Source organism: Homo sapiens, chromosome 5, assembly GCF_000001405.40.
Source record: "Homo sapiens chromosome 5, GRCh38.p14 Primary Assembly".
NCBI classification, from domain to species: domain Eukaryota; kingdom Metazoa; phylum Chordata; class Mammalia; order Primates; family Hominidae; genus Homo; species Homo sapiens.
The window spans coordinates 91,198,876-91,212,956 of record NC_000005.10 but is presented as its reverse complement, the minus strand read 5'-3'; the positions used below and the strand labels follow the sequence as shown (position 1 = coordinate 91,212,956).

At 37.9% G+C, this 14,081-nt stretch overlaps 1 long non-coding RNA gene across 1 annotated transcript in view, besides 1 other annotated feature; it reads left to right on the top strand.

Annotated features, from left to right (window-relative positions):
* The window catches only part of LOC107986432 (uncharacterized), a 113,452-nt gene that overhangs the window by 52,317 nt on the left and 47,054 nt on the right, over positions 1-14,081 (top strand). The window contains exons 4-5 of the long non-coding RNA XR_001742795.2: positions 5,169-5,324; positions 10,257-10,346. This is a non-coding gene — a long non-coding RNA (uncharacterized LOC107986432). The remainder of the gene's footprint in view (positions 1-5,168; positions 5,325-10,256; positions 10,347-14,081) is intronic.
* Positions 11,831-12,043: a silencer, noted in NCBI's record as "fragment chr5:90496731-90496943 (GRCh37/hg19 assembly coordinates)". NCBI's record gives its function as "represses an EF-1alpha promoter that drives an FKBP-Casp9 reporter gene in an ReSE screen in phorbol 12-myristate 13-acetate-treated (for megakaryocytic differentiation) K562 erythroleukemia cells {active_cell/tissue: K562(+PMA)}" and the evidence as "EXISTENCE:reporter gene assay evidence [ECO:0000049][PMID:32094911]".

Below are 14,081 nucleotides of genomic sequence, written 5' to 3'. Positions count from 1 at the left end.
CAGGCTTGGCCCATAAAACTTCTTTTTCAAAGTGAACATGTATTGAAACTGGCCGAGCCACAGGATGGAATTTAGGACCCTGACTCATGCTTGGAGTAGAGCCACCTGACAATTAGGAACATCTGTTTGGACTTTCAATGGGAAAGAAAGAAACCTCCATTATATTAAGCTACTCAGATGTAGGAGTTTGTCTCCTGCAATAAGTAGCATTGCCCTAATTAACATGCCACACTCAAAATCAAATAGGAAAATAGAGTTAGAAAAACCACCATACAGTACAGTGCTTTGAAAGTGATCAAGCATACTCTGGTCCCAGTACATAGGACAGCTTGAGGAGTCAGAGACAGAGGAAATGACATTTGAAGTGAATTTTGAAGATTAGGTAAGTGTCAGGCAGGCTAAGCAGGAGGGAGTGTTCGAGGCAGAGAGAAATGTGTGTACAAAGGCTCGGCAGGCAAGAAAGAGCAATTTCAAAAGATTAAAAGAAGTTTAGGAGGGAGTTCAATGCGGACTTAGTTTGAGTGAGTCAGCATTGAGGAGAAGGGTGAGATACTGAGTCTTGAGAGGTAAAAAGGAACTGGATAATGAAGGATGAATAGACAGCTGACAGGATGGGAAGTGGGCATTCTGGGCAGAAAAAACTGAAGGTCCCAAGCCCCGAGTTATTACAGAGCATAGATATGTCTGGAAATTCAACACAAATTAGCATAGATGGAGTAATGTAGGAGTGGAAAATCAGACCCTTTTTCTTCCTATCTTGATTCTGAAGACAGCGAAGTGCTATTCTGGAGTTTTTAGCAGGGGAGTAATGGAACATATTTTTACTTCAGAAATATTCCTCCGGTGAAAAATCATGCAGAATACAGATTAGGGTTTATGTAGTCTCTTAACATAGCAGTGTTTGGTTTTTTTCTACCAAAAGTGTTTTGTGATGTTTTCCAAGGAATTCTATCTTATCATTGCTAAGAGATAAAAGTCTCATTGTGTATGGATCAGGATGTGCTGTATTAGGAAAGATTGGAAGTGAGGGGACATGTTCAGAGCTACCAGTATTGTCCAGAACATTGATGATGATAGTCTGAGCAAGGGCAGAGTCAGAGGAAAGGGAGAAGACAGGATGAATTCACAAACAGACTAAGCAATTTAAAGAAGGGGCTTAGGTGGGAACAAACATCAGAGCTTACTTCAGTTCTTTATTTTGTGTGAGTAGGGAGATGATGATGTTACTCACCCAAAAAGGGCCCAAGACATAGGCAGAAGAAAAATTTGCAGAAGAAAGAAAAGGTTGCTAGCTGAGCATGGTGGTGTACACCTATGGTCCCAGCTGCTCTGGAGGCTGGGGCGGAAGGATTGCTTGAGCCCAGGAGTTTAAAGGCTGCCATGAGCTATGATCATGCCACTGCACTCTAGCCTGGGTGAAGACAGAGCAAGACCCTGTCTCTACAATAAAAAGAAAGAAAAGTTTGGTTTTTGAAATGCTGATTCTGAGGTGACTGAGGCACATCTGAGTGGAAATGTTGAGCTTTCATTTGGAAAAAATAAAATGCTCAGACTCTTACAGACCAAAAAAAGGGAGGATAAATTGTGGAGTACTATCAGTGTATAGCAGTCTCAGTACAGGTCTGAATGAAAGCAAGAGAGATTAGCCGGGGTAAAAGGAGTGCTAAGTGAGGAAGCTTAGAGGCCTCTTACATTTTGGCAGCCAATCAAATGAAAGGAGAGACAAAAGTAGGAGGAAAACAACACCAAAGCAAGGCTTGGCGTCCAGAACAGCACAGTCACAGCAGGCACTTGAAACACTGCCATGGAGCAGTTTTTTTTTTTTTTTTTTTTTTTTTGACATGGAGTCTCACTCTGTCACCCAGGCTGGAGTGCAGTGGTGTGATCTTGGCTCACCGCAACCTCTGCCTCCTGGGTTCAAGTGATTCTCCTGCCTCAGCCTCCTAAGTAGCTAGGATTACAGGTGTGCGCCACCATAGCCAGCTAATTTTTGTGTTTTTAGTAGAGACAGGGTTTCACCATTTTGGCCAGGCTGGCCTCGAACTCCTGACCTCAGGTGATCCACCTGCCTCGGCCTCCCAGAGTGTTGAGATTACAGATGTGAGCCACTGCGCCTGGCCCAGAAGAGGCTTCTATACTTGCTCCTATAGAAGTCCTTGGAGACCTTTTGGAAAAGTCTAGTAGAAGAGTGGGAGTGGAGGCCAGATTATGGTGAATGAGAAGAAGGCACAGATGTGGAAATGTCTTCTTTCAAGAAATTTTCCAAAATGGCTAGAGACTGCAAAAAATGCAGGATGGAGGAAAAAGTCTCTCGAGAAGAAGAAACATTTGAAAATGTGCATCAAGATTAGAAATGGGTGCAATTAAGGGGAAGACATTGAAGATGGAAAAGCCTGGGGATAATGGTGGGGCAAACTCTTTAATGAGCTGTGAGGGATACATGAGGACTCTTTTTCCATTGCTCAGAATCATTTTGGCAGCTTATACTACTTTGGCTCTGAAATGCAACCATTTCTAAGCCAGGGTCCCGTGGAGGAAGTCTCTTCTGTGCTAACCATTCTGTGAGAGGAGAAATACCAGCAAGAGAGATGTAGATGCAACAAATGCATTGCAAATTGATTTACTGAATATACTCCACTCAACTGAAAATAAACACAATTTCAAAAATTATTAAGTGAGCTTAATTTGGGAAAATTAATGTTAAAATGATGGCTTTTGAGGCCTCATTTTTTTTTTGATTCTATGAAAATCACCAAAGATATATATCTGAAGTATAAACCAACCGTATTTTTATTTATTTCTTTGTTTTATAGATTAGTGGTGATGAAAACAAGCCACTTCTTATTTTCTTTAAAAGAATTGGGTTATTATGAGAAAATGTCTGTGAAAAAGTCCTGTAGAAATATTAATTTAGATTTCTACAGTTCTAAAAAACGTAATGGTATAGTAGCCTTAATTGACTCCAAATAATCTCATTTCTACAGATAATATATAGTCATGCACTGCATCATGACATCTTGGTCAACAATGGAACACATATACTTCCATAAGATTAAAATGGAGCTGAAACATTACTCTTGCCTAGTGCCATGCCATCATAGCCGTCATAATGTCATAGCACACTGCATTCATTACTCATGTATTTGTGGTGATGCTTGTGTAAACAAACCTGTGTGGCCAGTTATATAAAAGTATAGCACATATGATTTTGTATAGTACATAATACTTGATAATGGTAATGAATGATTATGCTACCGGTTGATGCATTTACTATAATGTATGTTAAATCATTATTTTAGAGTGTAATCTTACTTACAAAAAAATAATCTACAAAACAGCCTCAGGTAGGTCCTTCAGATGGTACGTGCACATCTTGTTTTATTGCACTTTGGTTTATTGCGCTTTGAAGACAATGCATTTTTTCCAAATTGAAGATTTGTGTCAACCCTGCATTGAGCAAGTCTATTGGTGCCATTTTTTCAATAGCATGTGTTCACTTTATGTCTCTGTTACATTTTGGTAGTTCTTGCAATATTTCAAACTTTTTCATTATTATTATAATATTCTTTATTTTTGATGTTAGTGTCATAATTGTTCTGGGTGCCACAAACTGCATCCACAGAAGACAGCAAACAATAAATGTTGTATGCGTTCTGACTGCTCCACTCACTGGCTGTTCCCCTATCTCTCTCCCTCTCCTCAGGCCTCCCTCTTCCCTGAGACACAATAATATTAAAATTAGGCCAATTAGTAACCCTACAATGGCTTCCAAATGTTCAAGTGAAGGGAAGACTCTCATTATCTCTTACTCTAAATCAAAGCTATAGATGATTAAGCTTAGTGAGGAAGGCATGTCAGAAGCTGAGATGGTCTGAAAGCTGGGTGGCCTAAGCCAAACAAACTGTGACTACAAAGGAAAATTCCGCCAGGCGCGGTGGCTCACGCCTGTAATCCCAGCACTTTGGGAGGCCGAGGCAGGTGGATCGCGAGGTCAGGAGATCGAGACCATCCTGGCTAACATGGTGAAACCCTGTCTCTACTAAAAATACAAAAAAATTAGCCGGGCGTGGTGGCGGGCGCCTGTAGTCCCAGCTACTCAGGAGGCTGAGGCAGGAGAATGGCGTGAACCCAGGAGGTGGAGCTTGCAGTGAGCCGAGATTGCGCCACTGCACTCTAGCCTGGGTGACTGATCAAGACTCCGTCTCAAAAACAGAAAAAAAAAAAAAAAAAAAAGAAAATTCCCTGCAGGAAATTAAAAGTGCTACTCCAGTGAACATGAATGATAAGAAAATGAAACAGCCCTGTTGCCGATATAAAGAAAGCTTTAGTGGTCTGGATAGAAGATCAGACCAACCACAGTATTCCCTTAAACCAAAGCCTAATCTAGAGCCAAGACCTAACTCTCTTCAATTTGTGAAGCTGAGAGAGGTGAAGAAGCTGCAAAAGAAAAGTGTGAAGCTAGCAGAAGTTGATTCATGAAGTTTAAGGAAAGTAGCCATCTCCAGAACATAAAAGTGCAAGGTGAAGCAGCAAGTGCTGATGGAGAAGCTGTAGCAAGTTATCCAGAAGATCTAGCTAAGATAATTGATAAAGGTGGCTACACTCAACAATAGATTTTCAATTTAGATGAAATAGCTTTCTATTGGAAGAAGGTGCCATCTAGGGCTTTCATGGCTAGAGAGAAGTCAATGCTGTTAAGAGCATTTGTGATTCATGAGAAGAGGTCAAAATATCAACATTAACAGGAGTTTGGAAGAAGTTGATTCTAACCCTCATAGATGACTTCAAGGGGTTCAAGACTTCAGTGGAGGAAATAGTTGCATATGTGATGAAAACAGGATGAGAACTAGAATACCTGAAGATGTCACTGAATTGCTGCAATCTCACGATAAAACTTGAACACCTGAGAAGTTACTTCTTGTTGATGAGCAAAGAAAGTGGGTTTCTTGAAATGGAACCTACTCCTGACTGTGAACATTGTTGAAATCACAATGAAGGATATTATGTAAATTTAGTTGATAAAGCAATAGCTTTGAGAGGATTGAGTCAAATTTTGAAAGAAGTCCTATTGTGGGTAAAATGCTGTCAAACAGCATTATGTGCTACAGAGAACTCTTTTGTGAAAGGAAGAGTCAATTGATACAGCAAACCCTATTGTCTTATTTTAGGGAACTGCCACAGCCACCTCAACCTTCAGCAAACACCACCCTGACCAGTGAGTGGCAATCAACATTGAGGCAAGACCTTTCAGCAAAAAGATTATAATTCTCTGAAGACTCAGATGATCATTAGCATTTCTAGCAACAATGTATTTTTAAATTAAGGTATGTACTTTTTTTTTAGAAATAATGCTATTGCACACTTAATAGACTACAATATAGTGTGAAGATAACTTTCATATGCACTGGGAAACCAAAAAAAGTGTGTGACTCACTTTATTTTGATATTGGCACTGTAGTATCTCTGAAGTGTGCCTGCATTCCAGAAGAAGACATTGTTATCGCAGGACATGACAGGTCCATGAGTGTTACTGCCCCTGAAGACATTCCAATGTCTTCACTGGACAAGATGTGGAGGTAGAGGACAGTGATATTGGTATTCCTGACTCTGTGTACATCTAGACCAATGTGTGTGTTTGCGTCTTCGTTTTTAACAAAAAAGTTTAAAAAGTAAAAAAAAAAAAAGAAATTACCAGAAAGTAGCCACAGATAAGGATATAAAGATAAAAACAATTTTTTAATTTAAAATTTTTTAATTAAAAATTTTTTTTTAAATTTAAGCTGAATGTTCTCATTTTAAGCTAAATGTTATTACAAAAGAGTCAAAAAGTTTAAAAAACTAAAAAGTTTATGAAGTAAAAAAGTTACAGTAAGCTAACTTATTATTAAAGAAAGAAAAACTTTTAAAATAAATTTAGTGTAGTATAAGTGTACAGTGGTTATAATCTGCAATAGTGTACAGTAATGTCCTAGGCCTTCACATTCACTCACCACTCACTCAATGACTCACCCAAGAGCGACTTCCAGAACTGCAAGCTCCATTCATGATGAGTGCCCTATATAAGTGTTCCTTTAAAAAAAAAAGAATCTTTTATTCCATGTTTCATTATACATTTTCTATGTTTACATATGTTTAGATACACAAATACCATTGTGTTATGATTGCCTATAGCAGTGGTCCCCAGCCTTTTCGGCACCAGGGACCCTTTTGAGGAAGACAATTTTACCATGGATGAGGGCGACAGGGGAGGGCTGGGATGGGGAGGACAGTTTCAGGATGGAACTGTTCTATCTCAGATCATCGGGCTTTAGATTCTTCTAAGGAGCTCACAACCTAGATCCCTCATATGCACAATTCACAACTGTATTCGTGCTGCTATGAGAATCTAATGCAGCAGCTGATCTGACAGGAGGCAGAACTCAGGCGGTAATGCTTTCTGGTCCCTCACTCACCTCCTGCTGTGCGGCCTGGTTCCTAACAGACCGCAAACTCTACCGGTCCACAACCCAGGGACTAGGGACCCCTGGCCTACAGTATTCAACATGGTAACATGATGTACAGGTTTCTAGCCTGGGAGCAACAGAATATATTACACCATACAGCTTTGGTGTGTAATAGGCTGTATCATCTAGGTCTAAGTACACTCTACGATGTTCACACAATGATGAAATTACCTAATGAAGCATTTCTCTGAATGTATCCCTGTCATAAAGCCATACATGACTGTACTTCACTAGGTAAACAACAAAAATCAACCAGCAAAGTTAAGTGAGTTTCAAGAAAGCTTCTTTTGAAATTCTCAGTGGGGACTGCTGATATTTGAGCCTTATAAGAAAAGTGTGACGTGGGCAAACAAGCTCTGTCCTTCAGGATGAAATATTGACCGCACTAAGTATTTAAAACATAAACATAAAAAAAGGACACATCGATCTGAAGAAATCAAGCATCTTTGTGGATTGGCTTTTTATGTTTTTATACAATTTTTTGTTTGTTTGTTTGTTTGTTTTTGGAGATGGAGTTTCACTCCTGTTGCCCAGGCTGAAGTGCAATGGTGTGATATTGGCTCACCGCAACCTCCGCCTCCCGGGTTCAAGTGATACTCCTGCCTCAGCCTCCTGAGTAGCTGGGATTACAGGTACATGCCACCAGGCCTGGCTAATTTTGTATTTTTGGTAGAGATGGGGTTGCATCATGTTGGCCAGGCTGGTCTCAAACTCCTGACCTCAGGAGTGATCCGGCCACCTCGGCCTCCCATAGTACTGGGATTACAAGCATGAGCTACCACACCTGGCCTATATAAATATTTTTTATATAAGTGATCACTTAACTTTCAGCCTGGTTTTATTTATTTTATCACAGTATAAACCCAACTATAATTCACTGGCTGCCACAGAGTTCACTTAAACTTTTTGATCTTTAAACAATGTATATGCCTACTCTCACCTCTTTATTACCTACTTAATTTCTATTTATTCTTTCACTGCCTGTAGTCTGTGTTTTTATTTTCTCAGAGGGCAAGGCAACATCTGTGTCTTAAGCAATTTGATACATATTATAGAGCCTTAATAAACACCTTGCAATCAATTTTATTTGCTCTGTTAGAAAAGTTTACATTTACTCCTCAGTTAAACAATGATTCTAATGATTATTATAACATGAAATTAGAACAGTCTATAGGAGATCTCTTTAGTTTTCTATGTTTGGGGACAATCTATTCTTGAATTAAAAATGAGCTCATACTGACACATATTTCTGATACAGGGCTTTTCTACACTTTTGATGTACTTTATTTATTTATTTTTTTAAACAGACTTTTATGTATTCCAAAATCTTGCTTAAGTTTCCGAGGAAAATGCTGGACTTGTATTGGAGTAATAATTAGTGTAATTCACCTTTTCCAATCCATATGGCATGTTATAGTTATATTTATCTTCCTGAACTGGTCTACTTGTCTTTTTGAAAGCGGTCTCTTACACAGTGTTTGTGTTTCTTCCGATTTATTGTTAACGTTATGCTCTTTGTGAATTAAAATCATGTGCTGTTTGTATATTTTTATCTTTGAGAAGTTGCATTGTGAAGTAAGGCTGTGTGGTGGGATGATAGGCTCTTGATTTTTAGAAGAACTGTAAGCCACTCTGAGGCCTGAAAGCCAAATGGGAAGACAGTGAGCCCTGTTTATCAGCTTTGAAAGTGTTTGTGCCCAGCATAAATTGATCCAAACAGAAATAGCTTCTTTCGAATCACTTAGCTATTTACTGTTTTTGTTTGCCTTTGTTTGGTTTGGAGCTATGCTTTTGATTACTCACTTGGACCGAATTTGAAATACGAAATATTTATTGTCTGGACTAGTTTTAATTTTTCTTTTTTTAAACTGTAGTAAAATGTATATAATGTAAAACCATTTCAATCCTTCTAAATGTACAGTTCTGTGACATTCAGTCCACGTACATTCACATCTTTGTACAACCATCACCATCCTTCATCTCCAGAACTTTTTCATCTTTCCCAACTGAAACTCCATAACCATTAAACAGTAACTCCCCATTTTCCCCTCCCTCTGGCCCCAACAACCACCGTTATTGTTTTCTGTTTCCATGAATTTCACTATTCTAGGTTTCTCATATAAGCGAAATCATAGTAATTGTCCTTTTGTGATTGACTTATTTCACTTGGTGCATCTTCAAAGTTCATCCATGTTGTTGCATAAGTCAGAATTTCCATACTTTTTAAGGTTGAATAGTATGCCATGATATGTATAGACCACATTTTGTTTATTCGTTCACCAGGCCATGAACACTTGAGTTGCTTCCACCTTTTGCCTACTGTGAATATACCTTTACTTTAAAAGTTACAATGTATCCTATATTTCAAAGATTTGTACATTTTGTACATTTGAAACACTTTAATGTCCCTAAAATCAAGATGCTTTGAAATCATTGGAGTATCATATTTTTAAAATTAAGGCATAATTTACATATGATAGTTCAATGAACTTTGATAAACGAATATTTTCATGTAACTCACACCTTAATCAAGATACAGAAACAGATATTAGAGACAAACTATTTTCATCACCTTAGAAAGTCTCTCCTGCCTGGCACCCACACACGGGCCGCCTACACAGAAGCCATCATGGTTAGGCTTTCTATCAGCATAGATTACTTTGTCTAGTTTTGTACGTCACTTAAATGGAATTACGCAGTGTTTACTTTTGTGTCTGGATTATTTCATTCAACATATTTTTGAGATTCTTCCATCTTGTGTGCATCACTAGTTTATTCTTTTTATTGCTGGATACTATTCCACTGTATGGTTATACCATGATTTATTTATCTACTCTACCACTCTACTGTTAATAGCCTGTTAGGCTGTTTCTACTTTTTAGCTACTATTAATGAAGTTGCCACGCATATTCTTTTTTTTTTTTTTTTAAGACAGAGTCTAGCTCTGTCGCCCAGGCTGGAGTGCAGTGGCGCAATCTTGGCTCACTGCAAGCTCCACCTCCTGGGTTCACACCATTCTCCTGCCTCAGCCTCCTGAGTAGCTGGGACTACAGGCGCCCACCACCACACCTGGCTAATTTTTTGTATTTTTTGTAGAGACAGGGTTTCACCTTGTTGGCCAGACTGGTCTTGAATTCCTGACCTCAGGTGATCCACCCGCCTCGGCCTCCCAAAATTCTGGGATTGCAGGCATGAGCCACTGCTCCTGGCCACCACGCATATTCTTTTACAAGTATGTCTATGGATGCATGCTTTCATTTATCTTGAGTAACTGCCTAGGAGTGAAATTGCTGGGTAATGAATTAGGTGTATATTTAATTTACAAGAAAGTGCCAAAGAGTTTTCCAAAGTGATTGTGCCATTCACTCTCTCACCAACAATGTTGAAGAGTTCCTGTTGCTTTTTATCTTTGCTGAATTGAGTATTATCCATATTGAACTTAGTAGTTATGGTTTTTTGTGTGTGTGAAGTGTTGAAATCATTTGCTCACTTGAAATTGGGTTATTGTCTTTTTATTATTGATTTGTAGTTCTTTAAATATTCTAAATACAAGTCCTGTGCCATCATATAGCAGATTTTTTTTCCAAATCTGTGACTTGTCTTTTCATCTATTTAATGATATCTCTTAATGAGCACACAGAGATATTTAATTTTGATGAAGTCCTATCCATCATATTTGCTTTCTTGTATGCTTAAACTCTCCCTCTATTTTCTGAAAGAGGTGATTCAAGATTGGTATTATTTCTTCCTTAGATATTTGATGTGATTCACCAGTACAGCCATATGAAGATGATATTTTGATTTTAGGAATGTTTCATTACAAATGCAATTCCTTCAACAGAGGTAAAGTTATTCAAATTTTCTATTTCTCCTTGAGTCAATTTTGATACACTGTGTTTTTCAAACAATTTGTTAACTTCATATAGATTCTTTAACTTATTGGCATAAAATTATTCATGATGCCTTCCTATTATCATTTTAATTTTTATAGCTCTGTAGTGATATTCTGTTTTGTTTCTGATATTAGTAGTTTAATTTCCCCCTTCTTCCTATCCTGTTTTCTTTTTTTGATCAGTTTTATTGGGAGTTAATCAAGTTTACACATTTTTTTCTTCAAGGAAATAACTTTTGAGTTTGTTGATTTTTAAGATTTTTTATTTTATTGATTTTTACTCCTTATTTCCTTAGTTCTACTTACTTTGAGCTTAATTTTTAGCAATTTTTATATCTTAGCAGTTTTTTTCTTTTTGTACTATAAAAATATGAGTGCATTTTAAAAATCATGAAAGTTTTTAGATTTGATGAAACATTGCTACTTTTTGTAACTGCAGTTGACCCTTGAATAAGATGGGGGTTAGGGCCACTGACCACCTATACAGTCAAAAAAACCAAGGTATAACTTTTGACTCCCCACAAACCACAAACTTTACTAATAGCCTATTGTTGAACAGCAGCCTTACCAATAAATGAACAATTGATTAACACACATTTCGTACATGTATGTATTATATTCTGTATTATTACAATAAAATAAGCTAGAGAAAAGAAAATGTTATTAAGAAAATCATAAGAACAAGAAAATACACTTAGTGTTCATTAAGTGGAAGTGGAGCATCATAAAGGTCTTCATCCTTGTTGTCTTCACATTGGGTAGGTTGAGGAGGAGGAGGAATAGGAGAGCTTAGTCTTGCTGTTTCAGGGGTGGCAGAGACTGAAGAAAATCCGTGTATAAGTGGATCCATGCATTACAAGTCTGTTGTTCAAGGGTCAACTGTATTAGTTTTACAGAGATATTCCTGAAAAATATCACATCCTTATTGGTTCAAAGACATGGGAAAATTTCTCTAAAATTCAAAGGAATCTTAGAAAGCAATTGTAAATTTTTTTAAAGAAAATAGGCAAAGTAAATAAATAAGTAGGTAATACACAAAGAAGAAATATAGATAACCAATACAAGGAAAGATACGAATCAAATTTTTAAAATAACAAAACATTTTCTTTTACAACTTAGATTTTCAAGATGAAAAAAAGGTCATCAAAACCTAGTGTTGGTAATTATGAGGGGAAATACATATTCTCATATTAGTGTATTTCGGGTGTATAATTTTTTTTTTTCCAGAGCAGGGTCTTACTCTGTCACCCAGGCTGGAGTGCAGTGGCATGATCATAGCTCACTGCAGCCTTGACATCCCAAGTTCAGGTGATCCTCCCACCTCAGCCTCCTGAGTAGCAGAATCACAGGTGCACCACCATGCCTGGCTAATATTTTTAGTTTTTGTAGAGATAGGGTCCCATTATGTTGCCCAGGCTAGTCTCAAACTTCTGGGCTCAAGCCATCCTACTACCTTGGCCTCCAAAGCAGGTGCACGTCACCACACCTGGCTAATTTTTTAAAATTGTTTTGTAGAGACAGGCTTTCCCTATGTTGCCCAGGCTGGTATTGAACTCCTGGGCTCAAGTGATTCTCCCACCTTGTCCTCCCATGTTGGGATTATAATCATAAGCCACTGTGCCTGGCCTCAGGTGTATTTTTTTAAAAGCATGTATTCATCTGTAAAATGAAATTGCCTGGAGTATTAATTAATCCATTAATAACTAATTATTAATCGATTAATAATTATTAATCCATTAATAATTATTATTAATCATCTTAATGGGTACATATTTCAGAATTTGCCATTAGGATAATAACTGCAGAGGGTGAATAGATGTAGTTGTGAGGATGTCTTTTTTTTTAAATCTTCACCTTTTATTTTAAGCTCAGGGATACATGTGCAGAATGTGGAGGTTTGTTTCATAGGTAAATGTGTGCCATGGTAGTTTGCTGCACAGATCATCCCATCACCTCGGTATTAAGCCCAGCATCCATTAGCAATTCAATGGTATTGCTGTGTTAAATGGTATTTCTGCCTCTAGAACTTTGAGGAATCACCACACTGTCTTCCACAGTGGTTAAATTTACACTCTCATCAACAGTGTAAAAGTGTTTTCTCTGTAACCTTGCCAGCATCTGTTGTTTTTTGACTTTTTTTTTTTTTGAGATGCAGTATCACTCTTGTCGCCCATTGCACGCTGGAGTGCAATGGCGCGATCTTAGATCACTGCACCCTCTGCCCGTGGGTTCAAGTGATTCTCCTGCCTCAGCCTCCTGAATAGCTGGGATTACAGGCATTGGCCACCACGCCCAGCTAATTTTTGTATTATTAGTAGAGACAGGGTTTCACTACGTTGGCCAGGCTGATCTCGAACTCTTCACCTTAGGTGATCTACCCACCTTGGCCTCCCAAAGTGCTGGGATTACAGTCGTGAGCCACTGCGCACAGCCAGTTTTTTGACTTTTTAGTAATAGCCATTCTGACTGATGTGAGACGGTATCCCATTGTGGTTTTGATTTGCATTTCTCTAATGATCAGTGATGTTCAGCTTTTTTCATAAGTTTGTGGCCACATGTATGTCTTCTTTTGAGAAGTGTCCATTCATGTCCTTTGCCCACTTTTTAATGGGGTTGTTTGTATTTTGTTTTTGTAAATTTGTTTAAGTTCCCTGTAGACTCTGGATATTAGACCTTTGTCAGATGGGTAGATTGCAAAAATTTTCTCGCATTCTGTAGGTTGTCTGTTCACTCTCATGACAGTTTCTTTTGCTTTGCAGGAGCTCTTTAATTTAATTAGATATCATTTCTCAATTTTGGCTTTCATTGCAATTGCTTTTGGCATCTTCATAATGAAACCTTTGCCCATGCCTATGTCCTGAATAGTATTGCTTAGATTTTCTTCTAGGGTTTTTATAGTTTTCGGTTTTACTTTTAAAACTTTAATTCACTTTGAGTAAATTTTTGTATAAGGTGTAAGGAACGGGTCCAGTTTCAGTTTTCTACATATGGCAGCCAGTTCTCCCAGCACCATTTATTAAACAGGGAATCCTTTCCCCATTGCTTGTTTTTGTCAGGTTTGTTGAAGATCAGATGGTTGTAGGTATGTGGTCTTATTTCTGAGTTCTCTATTCTGTTCCATTGGTCTATGTGTCTGTTCTTGTACCAATACCATGAAGTTTTGATTACTGTAGCCTTGTAGTGTAGTTTGAAGTCAGGTAGCATGATGCTTTCAGCTTTGTTCTTTTTGCTTCGGATTGTCTTGGATATTTGGGCTCTCTTTCCATTCCATATGAATTTTAAAGTAGTTTTTTCCAATTCTGTGAAGAATGTCAATGGTACTTTAATGGGAATAGCATTGAATCTATAAATTACTTTGGGCAGTATGGCCATTTTCATGATATTGATTCTTCCTGTCCATAAGTATGGGATGTTTTTCCATTTGTTGGTGTCCTCTCTGATTTCTTTGAGGAGTGGTTTATAGTTCTCCTTGAAGAGGTCCTTCACTTCTCCTGTTAGCTGTATTCCTAGGTATTTTATTCTTTTTGTAGCAATTGTGAATAGCAGTTAATTCATGATTTGGCTCTCTGCTTGCCTGTTGGTGTATAGGAGTGCTAGTAGTTTTTTGCACATTGATTTTGAATCCTGGGGATTGGCTGAAGTTGCTTACAGCTTAAGAAGCATTTGGGATGAGACAATGGGGTTTT